Raw genomic sequence first — 14,188 nt, 5'->3', positions numbered from 1 at the left:
TTAAAAGCACACAGTAAGTGCTACACCAGTGAAGCAAACGAGTAGTATGGGAGCATTGACTAAGTAGTGAATGACTCAAGAGTTACAGGGTGAAGACTGGAAGGGCTTAGGAGGGTTCTGAGGGTGACAGCATGTGAGTCAGAGTATGGGAGAAGAAAAGTGGCAAGAGAATTGGGCAATTATCATAAAAGGTTTTTGATATATGACCTTTATAATGTATATAAAGGGCTAATACATTCAGAGGTTAAAGCCAGCATTTTAACTATAGCAGCCTTTACAGTGAATACAAATTATAACCATAACAGGTGTCTGTTAACCATAACACCCATTCAATTATCAAAATATACTACCCAAAATAAGGCTCTTAAGACAATCTGAGTGTATCTAAAATATTTATTATCAGGGCTTATCAAAAATGTAGGCAAAGTGCAAGTTACTATGAATCCTAAATGGAGTCAATAAAAATACAGATAAAATAATAAATTAACAACTTTATGGAGGCAAAAAGTTATATAGGGTTATAGTTGCTATTGGAAAAATGAAAACATCTAACATTTACAGAAATATATTAAAAATATATAATATGTAAATAATATATATTTTTACTTTATTATATATAAATAGATATATAAAATACATTAAAAAGATATATTAAAATATATGATTTGTATTTTCAAGAAACCCCATTCTTATCTCAAAATTTAATTAGTAATTTATACTCATGCTGAATAATAGAAACAAATTTTAAATTTTCTGTTAAAAAGTACAATCACTAAAAATGAAAATACACCTGTGATTCAAATATTGAGGAACAGAATCCCAGATAGCAAAGTATAATACAGAGCAGATAACAGATTTATTCTAAAGGAAGCAGCTCTATTGCTGGTCTTTTTATCTACATAATAGCCCTGGGGCTCTCAATCATATTCACTGCTTCCCCTGATGACTCCCAAGTCTATTTTCAGCCCAGACCTCTTTGCTGACACAGATGCTTATATCCAAGTGTCTACTAAATATACTAGATGTTCCAAAAGCATCTCAAATCAAACACAGCCAAACAATAAACTCCTATCTCTTATTACCTCCAGCCCCAAAGAAAACCTGCACCTCATCCTATTATATTTCTGTGAATGATATATTACTATTCTCCCAGTTGCCCAAGGCAGAAACTTAGGATTTTAACTCCTGCTTCTTACTCTTCACATCATCCACTCAGTCACCAAGTCCTGCAGATTCTACTTTTTTTTTTTTTTTTTGAGATGGAGTCTCGCTCTGTCGCCCAGGCTGGAGTGCAGTGGCACAATCTTGGCTCACTGCAACCCCGCCTCCTGGACTCAAGCGATTCTTCTGCCTCAGCCTCCTGAGTAGCTAGGAGTACAGGTGCATGCCACCATGCCCAGCTAATTTTTGTATTTTTAGCAGAGACAGGGTTTCACCATATTGGCCAGGCTGGTCTCGAACTCCTGACCTTGTGATCCGCCCGCCTCAGCCTCCCAAAGTGCTGGGATTACAGCCATGAGCCACCACGCCCGGCCGAGATTCTACTTTCTAATTATTTCTTAAATGTATTCCTTATGCTCTCTCTGCTGTCATAGAATCATGTCTTAATTACTGCTTCCCAGATTACTGCAACTGTCTCGTAACTGTCCTCCACTGTTGTCAGTGTAGTCTGTGTAGTGTCAGTATGATGACATAACTTCCCAACTAAAAACTGGTCTATGGCTCCCAGCATTTCTCAAGGAAAAAAATCCAGACTCATTATTACAGCCTTGGTATTTGGTAAGCAGAGCAGTCAATCTGGCTTTTGCCCAGCAGTCCATAGTTTTTTTTAAACCACATCATGGGTGCTAGGGGCAGAAAACAAAGCTCTTAAGAGATCATGCTTGAGAATCTGGGATTCTCTCAATGGCTACTCCTCAACTAGATGACTTGCAAGGAAACTTCCCCATCCTGAACCCTGGCACTGAGTTGAAGGAGACTGCTGGCCTTCTAATACCAACTCTAACAAACTCAAAAAGGAGACAGTGGGGAAATCTAAACATCAGATATTTATTATTAAAGAACTGTTATTAATTAATTATTTTTTTTTTTGAGACGGAGTTTCGCTCTGTCACCAGGCTGGAGTGCAGTGGCGTTAACTCAGCTCATTGAGACCTCCCACCTCCTGGGTTCGATTCCCCTGCCTCAGCCTCCCGAGTAGCTGGGACTACAAGTGCGCACCACCACTCCTGGCTAATTTTTTTTTGTATTTTAGTAGAGACGAGGTTTCACCATGTTGGCCAGGATGGTCTTGATCTCCTGACCTGGTGATCCACCCACCTTGGCCTCCCAAAGTGCTGGGATTACAGGTGTGGGCCACCACACCCAGCCTGTTATTAATTTTTAAGGCATAATAGTATTGTTGTGGTTTTAAAAGTCTATCTTTTAGATATATACTCAAATATTTATGGATAAAATTATATGGTGTCTGGGGTTTGCATCAAAACAACCTAGGAGAGTGAGTGGGCATATAGGTGAAATAACACTGGCTCTGAGCTGATCATTGCTACAACCTAGGTGATAGGAACATGTGGGCTTATTATACTATATTTTTGTAAATGCTAAGGTTTTCAAAATTTAAAAGTTCAAAAAATGAAACCACACATAAAAATAAAACAAACTTACTGTTTCAGCTGAGAGATAGAGATGGAAAGAACACAGCTCTCACCATTACAAGAAGAAAAAAGCTGAACGATCTGCACATTAATGATTTTTCTTGAACTAATGAGAGAACTGAGGTCACAGAGCAAACAACTAACCTGAAATATGGAGAGAGATAAGTATCCCAGCACTTGCTTACTTGGGAAAGATGCCATGGAATGCCACATAAATTGATAAGATTATGTTATAAATATTTGTTAATTTCCTAAAGACTGAGTGTGGACTAGTGATGTGCTCAGGTCTGTACCGGACCTGAGGACTTGGGGAGTTTGTACCTCTTGCAGGCTTTTCCTCCAGGAAACCTACTCGAAGCTTATAGGGAAGAGTAGAGAGAATCCCTTTCCCACCTTCTCTTGGTGTGGCTTGGGGAGAGAAACAGCAGTCACTGTGGAAAATCTTCCCAGACTTATTTTTCCATTCTCTTTTAAGGAACAAAAACCTTAATCTGCAGGGGAAAATATCCCTTCACTTTTGCCACATAACAGAATCACAGAAGTGACATCCTATCATCTTTCCCATATTCTACTGGGTAGAAGCAAGTTACAGGTCCTACCTGCACTGAAGAGGAGGGGATTGCTTAAGGGTGTGGGTCACTGTGGGGGTGTTGTCTTCAAATTTTGTCTACCACATTGAGTCAAATAGAAGGTATGAAATAAGAAGCCAGAAATAAAAACATATTAAATGCCCCATTAAAAAGACAATGATTATCACAGCACTTTGGGAGGCCGAGGCAGGCAGATCACGAGGTCAGGAGATCGAGACCATCCTGGCTAACATGGTGGAACCCCGTCTCTACTAAAAATACAAAAAATTAGCCAGGCGTGGTGGCGGGTGCCTGTAGTCCCAGCTACTCGGAGGCTGAGGCAGGAGAATGGCGTGAACCCGGGAGGCAGAGCTTGCAGTGAGCCAAGATAGCGCCACTGCAGTCTGGCCTGGGTAAAAAAGCGAGACTCTGTCTCAAAAAAAAAAAAAGACAATGATTATCAGATTGAATAATCTGACCCACCAAATACTAACCTAAAACATTGAGATTGGCAAGTGACATTAAAAAAAAAAAAAGAAGAAAACATTAAGATCAAAAAATGGAAAATGATATACCAAGTAAATACTAGTCAAAATAAAGCTAATTTAATTATATCACTATCAGAAAATATTAATAGAAAAAGCATTAAGGTAAAGAAATTCAAAGCACAGTGATAACAGGTTCAGTTCACCAAGAAACTACCTCCTTCAGGATTTTCTAAATCTGTATTCTGTATCTCTAATATCTCTAATGTAATAACATGCATTCAAAATATGTAAATCAAAAATTAATAGTACCACAAGGAGAAATAGCTAAATATGTAAGTATGTGGAAGATTTCTCTCAATAACTGATAGATTAACCAGACAAAAATAATCAATATGATATAAAAGATTTGAATATCTGGAAAATACAAAGTTTAATGAATATACTATATATCAAATACTACATGCAAAAACTATAGAATATATTTTATTTTCAAACATATAATGACAGGACATTTTTAAAAAATTGTCCACCTACTGGGACATAAAACAAGTGCTCAATAAATTTCAAGAAATGGATATAATATAGATGTTTCCTAATCACAGTACAATTAGGCTAGAAATCTGTAACAAACAGATACTAAGGAAAAAGCAGATACAGAGATTAAGAAATAGTTCTAAATGATTTCTGGGTTAAATAAAAAAATCATAATGAAAATTGTAGGCCGGGCATGGTGGCTCACGCCTGTAATCCCAGCACTTTGGGAGGCTGAGGCAAGCAGATCACTTGAGGTCAGGAGTTAGAGACCAACCTGGCCAACATGGTGAAACTAGACTCTACTAAAAACACAAAAATTAGCTGGGCATGGTGGCAGGCACCTGTAGTCCCAGCTACTTGGGAGGCTGAGGCACGAGAATTGCTTCAACCCAGGAGGCGGAGGTTGCAGTGAGCCGAGATCACACTACTGCATGCCAGCCTGGGCAACAGAGCAAGACATTATCTCAAAAAACAAAACAAAAACAAACAAACAAAAAGAAAATTGTAAAATACTTCGAATTGAAACATAATAAAAATACCACCTATCAAAACTTGTGGGATGCAGCTAAAGCTGTACTTGGTGGAAAATTTATAGCATTAAAAATGCTTACACTAGCAAAGAAGTAAGGCAGAGAATTAATAAATTAAATAAAATTAGAGATAGTACAGCAAAATAAACCCAGAGAGAGGGAAATAAAGATAAACACAGATATTAACAAAACAGAAAACAAAATACAATAGAGAAGACTAACACAATAAAAAGTGTGTCCTTTAAAAAAACTGACTCAATCTCTGATGAGAATGATGAAGAAGAAGAATGAAGGCACAAATAAACTACCTTAGGAATAACAAGGGGAAATAATACATATTCAGAAGAGATTAAGAGAATAGTATGAACAATTCTCTGCCAAAAATTTACATAAAATGAACAACTTCCTACATAAATCTAACATTGAAATCATTCTATAATGACTTAAAAAATTGAATCAGTAGTCAAAATCTTCTCATAAAAAATACTTTAGGCCTAGACAATTTTAATGTTGAGTTCCACCAAATTTAAGGAACAAATAAACCAAATGTACACAAGCTAGAGTACAGAAAGAAGAAATAGTGCCCAGTTTATTTTATGAGGATAGCATAACCAGACACAAGGAGTACAAAAAAAGAAAATGACAGGCCAGTATCAATAATGGACAGATGCCAAAATTCTAAACAAATATTAGTAAGTAAATCTAGCAATGAATAAAAAAGGTAATGTACCATGACTAAGTTCTGTTTACAACAGGAATGCAAAGTTGGTTTAACATTAAAGTCAATTGTTTGTAATTCATTACATTAACAGATTAAAAGAGGCTCAGCATAGTGGCTCATGCTTGTAATCCTAGCACTTTTTGGGAGGCCGAGGTGGGCAGATCACTTGAGGTCAGGAGTTTGAGACCAACCTGGCCAACATGGCGAGACCCCATCTCTACTGAAAACACAAAAATTAGCTGGAGTCGTGGTGGGTGCCTGTGATCCTAGCTACTGGGGAGGCTGAGGGAGGAGAATTGTTTCAACCCAGGAAGTGGAGGTTGTAGTGAGCCAAGATCATGCCACTGCACTCCAGCCTGGGCAACAGAGTGAGACTATATATATATATATAAAAAAAAAAAAACCCCACAGATTAAAAGAGAAAAATTATATCATAATATCATCATTCCAAGAGATGCAAAAAAGCATTTCATAAAATTAATATCCATTCAGGAGAAAGGGAAAAAAAAAACTTCACAAACTAGGAATAGAACTTATTTAACCAGATGTTCGAAGGTATCACAAAAAACCTATAACTGGGGTCTGCAAACTATAACCTTCAGGCCAAATCTGACCCAATGTCTTCAGTTAATAAAGTTTCAGCAGAACACGGCTATACTCATTTATTTATGTACTGTCTATGTCTGCCTTCCAATGGCAGAGTAGTTGTGACAGAGGCCTGAACAGCCTTTTAAAATATTAACTATCTGGATCTTTACAGGAAAAATTTGCTGACCCTAAACTATAGTAAACAAAGTCAGATTGTACCACTAAAGAAGTACCTTAGAAACATTTGCTTTTAAAAAATAAAAATACTATCTTACCTTTTGTAAGGTATTAAAAAGTGACTTGGAATTATTTTTATAATTGGCTCGCATTGCAGTTTTAGTTAATTTGAACTCTTTTTCACATTGTGCTAATTCCTTTTTGAGTTTCTCTCTTCGTTGTTGGTCTGCATCTAAAAGGGAAAACAAATCTTTCAAAATATGGAACAAAATAGAAAATTGGTTTTTTGGTCTTGTTAGAGTAATAAATGGAACATTTTTCTTGTTAAAATGTTATGATATGTAAATAAAAATCCATTTATTTTCCTATATAAAGAGTTACTAACACATTTTAAAAATTATTTATTTCACATGTGCCTCTAGATATTAACTAACACATTTAATTTATAGAAATTCTAAATGGATTAACTATTTAAATAATACAAACAATATAGTGAGATTTGTGTAGTTACCAAAAAAAAAAAAAAAAAAAAAGAATGCCAACAAGATATGACAAACTGGCCAAGCCTAAGGGCATAAGAAAGCAACTCTTAGCAGTTATTCACAGAGATATGAAGGTTACAAATGCTTAACCATGTTATTTATGACTATGTAATCACCAAATACTAAGCTTCACAAACAAAGAAGAAATAAAGTCTTTCCTGACAAGCAAACGCTAAAGGAATTTGTTATATCTAGACCTAGTGTGTTAGACTGTTCTTGCATTGCTATTAGAAATACCCAAGACTGGGTAATTTATAAGGTAAGAAGTTTAATTGGCTCATGATTCTGCAGGCTGTACAGGAAGCACAATGCCAGCATCTGCTTCAGGGGAGACCACAGGAAGCTTTTGCTCGTGGTGGAAGGCGAAGAGGGAATGTGCATTTCATATGGCAAGAACGAGAGGGGAAGGCTGTGGGGGCATACACTTTTAAACAACCAGATCTTGCAAGAACCCACTCACTATCACAAGGACAGCATCAAGGGGGTGGCGCTAAGCCATTCATGAGAAATTCACAGACATGATCCAATCACCTCCCATCAGGCGCCAACTCCAACACTAGGGGTTACATTTCAATGTGACATTTGGGTGGGGACAAATACCCAAACTACATCACCTAGCCTATAGGAAATGCTCAAGGAAGTTCTAAACATGCATACATAAGAATGATACTCACTACCATAAAAGAACACATAAATACAGAGGTTCACAGATCCTATAAAGCAAATACGCAATCAAGACTACAAAGCAAACAGCAAACACCACCATGACAGGATCAAACCTCACATATCAATATTAACCTTGAATGTAAGTGGTCTAAATGTACCCAGTTAAAAGGCACAGAGTGGCAAGAACCACTTTTTAATTTTTTTATTTAAAAAATAAAATAATATTTTATTTAAAAAAAAACAAAAAACAAGACCCAACCTTCTACTATCTTCAAGAGGCCCATCACACATGTAATGACACCTATAGGCCTGAAGTAAAGTGATGAAGAAAGACCTATCATGCAAACAGTAAATAGAAGAGCAGGGGTTGCTATTCTTGTATCAGATAAAACAGACTTTAAACCAACAGCAATAAGGACAAAGATGGGCATTACATAATGACGAAGGATTCAATTCCACAAGACTTACCTATCCTAGGTATATTTGCACCCAACACTGGAGCACCCAGATTCATACAAGTACTTCTAGACCTATGAAAAGATTTAGACAGCCACACATTAATAATGGGGGACTTCAACATCCCACTGGCAGTGTTAGATAGACCCTCAAAGCAGAAAACTAACAAAGAAATTCTGGATTTAAATTTGACACCTGACCAACTGGACCTAATAGACATCTACAGAAGAATACTCCACCCAACAACCACAGAATAAACATTCTTCTCATCTGCATGTGGAACATACTCTAAGATCAACCACATGCTCGAAGACAAAGCAAGTTTCAATAAATGTAAAAAAATTGAAACCACGCCAAACATATTTTTGGACCACGGTGGAAAAAAAGGTAGAAATCAATACCAAGAGTACTCCTCAAAACCACATAATTTTACATGGAAATTAAACCAACTTGCTCCTGAATGACTTTTGGGTAAACAACAGAAGGTGAAATTAAAAAAAAACAAAAAAACTCTTTGAAATAAATAAAAACAGAAACACAACATACCAAAATTTCTGGGATGCAGCAAAAGCAGTGTTAAGAGGCAAGTTTACAGTGCTAAATACCTACATCAAGAAGACAGAAAGATCTCAAATTAATCTAACATTGCAACTAGAGGAAGTAGAATAACAAGAACTAATCCCAAAGCTAGTAGTAGAAAATAATTATCTAAAAGCAGAAATAATTGAAATTGAGATTCCAAAATCCATATAAATGTTCAATGAAACAAAAAGTTGGTTTTTTGAAAGGATAAACAGATCAACAGACTGTTAGCAAGATTAACAAAGATAAAAGAGAAGATCCAAATAAGTACAACCAGATATGACAAAGGCAACATTACAACAGACCCCACAGAAATAGAAAAGATCCTTAGAGACTATTAAGAAGACTTTTATGCATAGAAACTAGGAAATCTAGAGGAAATAGATAAATTTCTGGAAACATACAATTTCCCAATATTGAATTCAGAAGAAATTGAAACCCTGAAGAGAAATACTGAGTTCCAAAATCGAACCAGTAATAAAAAAAACCTACCAACCATAAAAAGCCCTGGACCAGAGAGATTCACAGCCAAATTCTACCAGACATACCAATAGTTGGTATTAATCCTACTGAAACTATTCCAAAAACTTGAGGAAGGACTCTTCCCTAACTCATTCTATGAAACCCAATCTATGAAACCAGCATAATTCTAACACCAAAATCTGGTAAAGACACACCAAAAACGAAAGCTATAGGCCAATATCCCTGATTAACATAGACACAAAAATGCTCAACAAATAGTAGCAAACTGAATCCAACAGCACATCAAAAAGTTAATAAACCACAGTCAAGTAGGCTTCATTCCTGGAATGAAAGGCTGGTTCAACATATGCAAATCAATAAATGCGATTCACCATATAAACAGAATTAAAAACAAAAACCTTATGATCATCTCAACAGATGTAGCAAAAACCTTCAATAAAATCTAGCAATCCTTCATGATTAAAAAAAAAAACCCTCAACAAATTAGGCATCAAAAGAACATACCTCAAAATAATAAGAGCCATCTATTACAAGTCCACAGCCAACATCATACTGAATGAGCAAAAGCTGGAAGCATTCCTCTTTTGAACTGGAACAGCATAAGGATGCCCACTATCACCACTCTTATTCAACATACTACTGGAGTCCTAGCCAGAGTAATTAGGTAAGAGAAAGAAATAAAACACATCCAAATTGGAAAAGTAGTAGTCAAATTATCTCTTTCCTGATGATATGATTCTATAATTAGAAAACCCTAAAGATGCTGCCAAAAGGCTTCTTGAACTAATAAACGATTCCAGTAAAGTTTTAGGACACAAAATCAATGTGCAAAAATCAGTAGCATTTCTATACACCAATGATATTCAAGCTGAGAGCCAAATCAAGAACACAATCTCATTTACAATAGTTACACACACACAAAATAAAATACCTAGGAAAATATCTAAGGAGGTGAAGGATATCTAAAAGAATTACAAAATACTGCTGAAAGAAATCAGAGCTGACACACACAAACGGAAAAACATTCCATGTTCGTGGATTGGAAGAGTCAATATCATTAAAATGTCCATACTGCCCAAAGCAATCTAGAGATTTAGCACTATTCCTATCAAACTACTCACATCATTTTTCACAGAAATTGAAAATACTATTCTAAAATTTATATGGAACCAAAAAAGAGCAGTCCTAAGCAAAAAGAACAAAACTGGAGGCATCACATTACCCGACTTCAAACTACACTACAAGGCTACAAGATGGATTAAAGATTTAAATGTAAGACCTAAAACTATAAAAATTCTATAAGAAAACCTAGGATATACTCTGCTGGACATTGGCCTTGGCAAAGAATTTGTGACCAAGTCCTCAAAAGCAATTGCAACAAAAACAAAAATTGACAAGTGAGACCTAATTAAATTAAAAAGCTTGTGCAATGCAAAAGAAACTATCAACAGAGTAAACAGACAACCAACAGAATGGGAGAATATATTTGTAAACTATGCATCTGACAAAAAACTAATATCAAGAATTGTGATGGCTAATACTGAATGTCAACTTGATTGGATTGAAGGATGCAAAGTATTGGTACTGGGTATATCTGTGAGGGTGCTGACAAAGAAGATTAACATTTGAGTCAGTGGGTTGGGGAAGGCAGACCCACCCTTAATCTGGGTGGGCACCATCTAATCAGCTGCGAGCGAACATAAAGCAGGCAGAAAAACGTGAAGGGTTGAGGCTGGCCTACTCTCACAGCCTACATCTTCCTCCTGTGCTGGATGCTTCCTGCCCTCAAACATCGGACTCCAAATTCTTCAGTTGTGGAACTCAGACTGGCTCTCCTTGCTCCTCAGCCTGCAGACGGCCTATTGTGGGACCTTGTGATCATGTGAGTTAATACTTAATAAACTCCCCTTTATATATATATTTCATTAGTTCTGTCCCTCTAGAGAACCCTAATACAAGAATCTATGAGGAACTTAAAAAAAAAAAAAAAAGCAAGAAGAAAAACAAATAACCCCATTAAAAAGTGAGAAAAGGACATAGACACTTATCAAAAGAAGACATAAAAGCAGCCAACAAATAAAAAAGTACTCAACATCACTAATCATCAGAGAAATGCAAATAAAATCACAATGAGATACTATTTCATACCAGCCAGAATGGCTATTACTAAGAAGTCAAAAAATAGTAGATGTGGCAAGGTTGCGGGGAAAAAGGAATTACACACTGTTCTTGGGAATGTGAGTTCAGCCACTGAGGAAAGCTGAAGACTGAGCCACTGAGGAAAGTTTGAAGACTTCTCAAATAACTAAAAATAGACCTACCATTCAACCCAGCAATCCCATTACCATGTATAAACCCCCCCCAAAAAATCATTCTACCAAAAAGACACATGCCCTCATATCCAACACAGCACTATCCACAATAGCAAAGATATGGAACCAACCTGGGTGTCCATTAATGGTGAATTGGATAAAGAAAATGTGGTACATATACAGGATGAAATACTGTATATGTGCAGCCCACGGAGGGTGAGCTGAAGCAGGGTGTGGTGTTGCCTCACCCAGGAAGCGCAAGGGGTAGGGGAACTCCTTCCCCTAGCCAAGGGAAGCCATGAGGGACTATCCTGTGAGGAACGGTGTGCACTCTGGCCCAGATACTATGCTTTACCCATGGTCTTTGCAACCCACGGACCAGGAGATTCCCTCAGGTGCCTACACCACCAAGGCCCTGGGTTTCAAGCACAAAACTGGGTGGCTGTTTGGGCAGACACTGAGCTAGCTATAGGAGTTTTTTTCCATACCCCAGTGGCAACTGGAATGCCAGTGAGGCAGAACCATTCACTCCCCTGGAAAGGGGTCTGAAGCCAGGGAGGCGAATGGTCTAGCTCAGCATATTCCACCCCATAGAACCCAGCTAGCTAAGATCCACTGGCGTGAAATTCTCCCTGCCAGCACAGCAGTCTGAAGTTGACCTGGGACTCTAGAGCTTGGTGGGGGGAGGGGCATCCACCTTATTGAGGCTTGAGTAGGTGGTTTTTCCCTCACAGTGTAAACAAAGCCGCCAGGAAGTTCAGACTGGGCGGAGCCCACCACAGCGCCACAAGGCCACTGTAGCCAGACTGCCTCTCTAGATTCCTCCTCTCTGGGCAGGGCATCTCTGAAAGAAAGGCAGCAGCCTCCCTCAGGGGCTTATAGATAAAACTCCCTGGGACAGAGCACCTGGGAGAAGGGGTGGCTGTGGGCACAGCTTCAGCAGACTTAAATGTTCCTGCCTGCCAGCTCTGAAGAGAGCAGCGGATCTCCCAGCCAGTGCTTGAGCTCTGCTAAGGGACAGACTGCCTCCTCAGGTGGGTCCCTGACCCCCATGCCTCCCAGCAGGGGTTGACAGACACCTCATACAGGAGAGCTCCGGCTGGCATATGGCGGGTGCCCCTCTGGGACGAAGCTTCCTGAAGGAAAAACAGGCAGCAATCTTTGCTGTTCTGCAGCCTCCGCTGGTGATACCTAGGCAAACAGGGTCTGGAGTGGACCTCCAGCAAACTACGGCAGACCTGCAGCAGAGAAGCCTGACTGTTAGAAGGAAAACTAACAAACAGAAAGGAATAGCATCAACATCAACAAAAAGGACATCCACACAGAGACCCCATCCAAAGATCACCAACAGCAAAGACCAAAAGTAGATAAATCCACGAAGATGAGGAAAAAACAGTGCAAAAAGGTTGAAAATTCCAAAAACCAGAACGCCTCTTCTCCTCCAAAGGATCACAACTCCTCACCAGCAAGGGAACAAAAAACGCAGGGGTTGCAATCCTAGTCTCTGAAAAAAACAGACTTTAAACCAACAAAGATAAAAAAAAGACAAAGAAGGGCATTACATAATGGTAAAGGGATCAATGCAACAAGAAGAGCTAACTATCCTAAATACATATGCACCCAATACAGGAGCACCCAGGTTCATAAACCAAGTTCTTGAGACCTACAAAGAGACTTAGACTGCCACACAATAACAGTGGGAGACTTTATCACCCCACTGTCAATATTAAAGAGATCAACAAGACAGAAAATTAACAAGGATATTCAGGACTTGAACTCAGTTCTGGACCAAGCAGACCTACTAGACATCTACAGAACTCTCCATCCCAAATCAACAGAATATACATTCTTCTCAGCAGCATATCACATTTATTCCAAAATTGACCACATAATTGGAAGTAAAACACTCCTCAGCAATTGCAAAAGAACGGAAATCATAACAAACAGTCTCTCAGACCACAGTGCAATCAAATTAGAACTCAGGATTAAGAAACTCACTCAAAGCCACACAACTACATGGAAACTGAACAACCTGCTCCTGAATAACTACTGGGTAAATAACAAAATTAAGGTAGAAATAAATAAGTTCTTTGAAACCAATGAGAACAAAGACACAATGTACCAGAATCTCTGGGACACAGCTAAAGCAGTGTTTAGAGGGATATTTACAGCACTAAATGCCCACAGGAGAAAGTGGGAAAGATCTAAAATCGACACCCTAACATCACAATTTAAAGAACTAGAGGAGCGAGAGCAAACTAACTCAAAAGCTAGCAGAAGACAAGAAATAACTAAGATCAGAGCAGAAATGAAGGAGATACAGATGTGAAAAACCCTTCAAAAAATCAATAAATCCAGGAGCTGTTTTTTTGAAAAGATGAACAAAATAGATAGACCACTAGCCAGACTAATAAAGAAGAAAATAGAGAATCAAAAAGGCACAATAAAAAACGACAAAGGGGATATCACCACTGATCCCACAGAAATACAAACTACCACCAGAGAATACTATAAACACCTCTATGCAAATAAATTAGAAAATCTAGAAGAAATGGATAAATTCCTGGACACATACATCCTCCTGAGACTAAACAAGAAGTCGAATCCCTGAATAGACCCATAACAAGTTCTGAAATTGAGGCAGTAATTAATAGCCTACCAACCCAAAAAAGCCCAAAACCAGATGGATTCACAGTCTAATTCCTCTATAGGTACAAAGAGGAGCTGGTACCATTCCTTTTGAAGCTATTCCAAACAACAGACAAAGAGGGACTCCTCTCTAACTCATTTTGCATCATCCTGATACCAAACCCTGGCAGAGACACAAGAAAAAAAAATTTCAGGCCAATATTCCTGACTAACATTGATGTGAAAATCCTCAATAAA

General features: G+C 38.0%; 1 protein-coding gene across 11 annotated transcripts in view; it reads right to left on the bottom strand.

The window, feature by feature from the left end:
* SPATA7 (spermatogenesis associated 7) overlaps positions 1–14,188 on the bottom strand; it is an 84,694-nt gene that overhangs the window by 47,147 nt on the left and 23,359 nt on the right. For all 11 annotated transcript variants that reach the window (XM_006720205.2, XM_047431581.1, XM_047431584.1 and 8 more), the window contains one exon: positions 6,360–6,493. In XM_006720205.2, coding sequence (XP_006720268.1) covers positions 6,360–6,493 — 134 coding nt within the window. The remainder of the gene's footprint in view (positions 1–6,359; positions 6,494–14,188) is intronic.

Source organism: Homo sapiens, chromosome 14 (genome assembly GCF_000001405.40).
Source record: "Homo sapiens chromosome 14, GRCh38.p14 Primary Assembly".
Classification (NCBI taxonomy): domain Eukaryota; kingdom Metazoa; phylum Chordata; class Mammalia; order Primates; family Hominidae; genus Homo; species Homo sapiens.
This window is presented reverse-complemented; position numbering and strand designations above follow the sequence as displayed.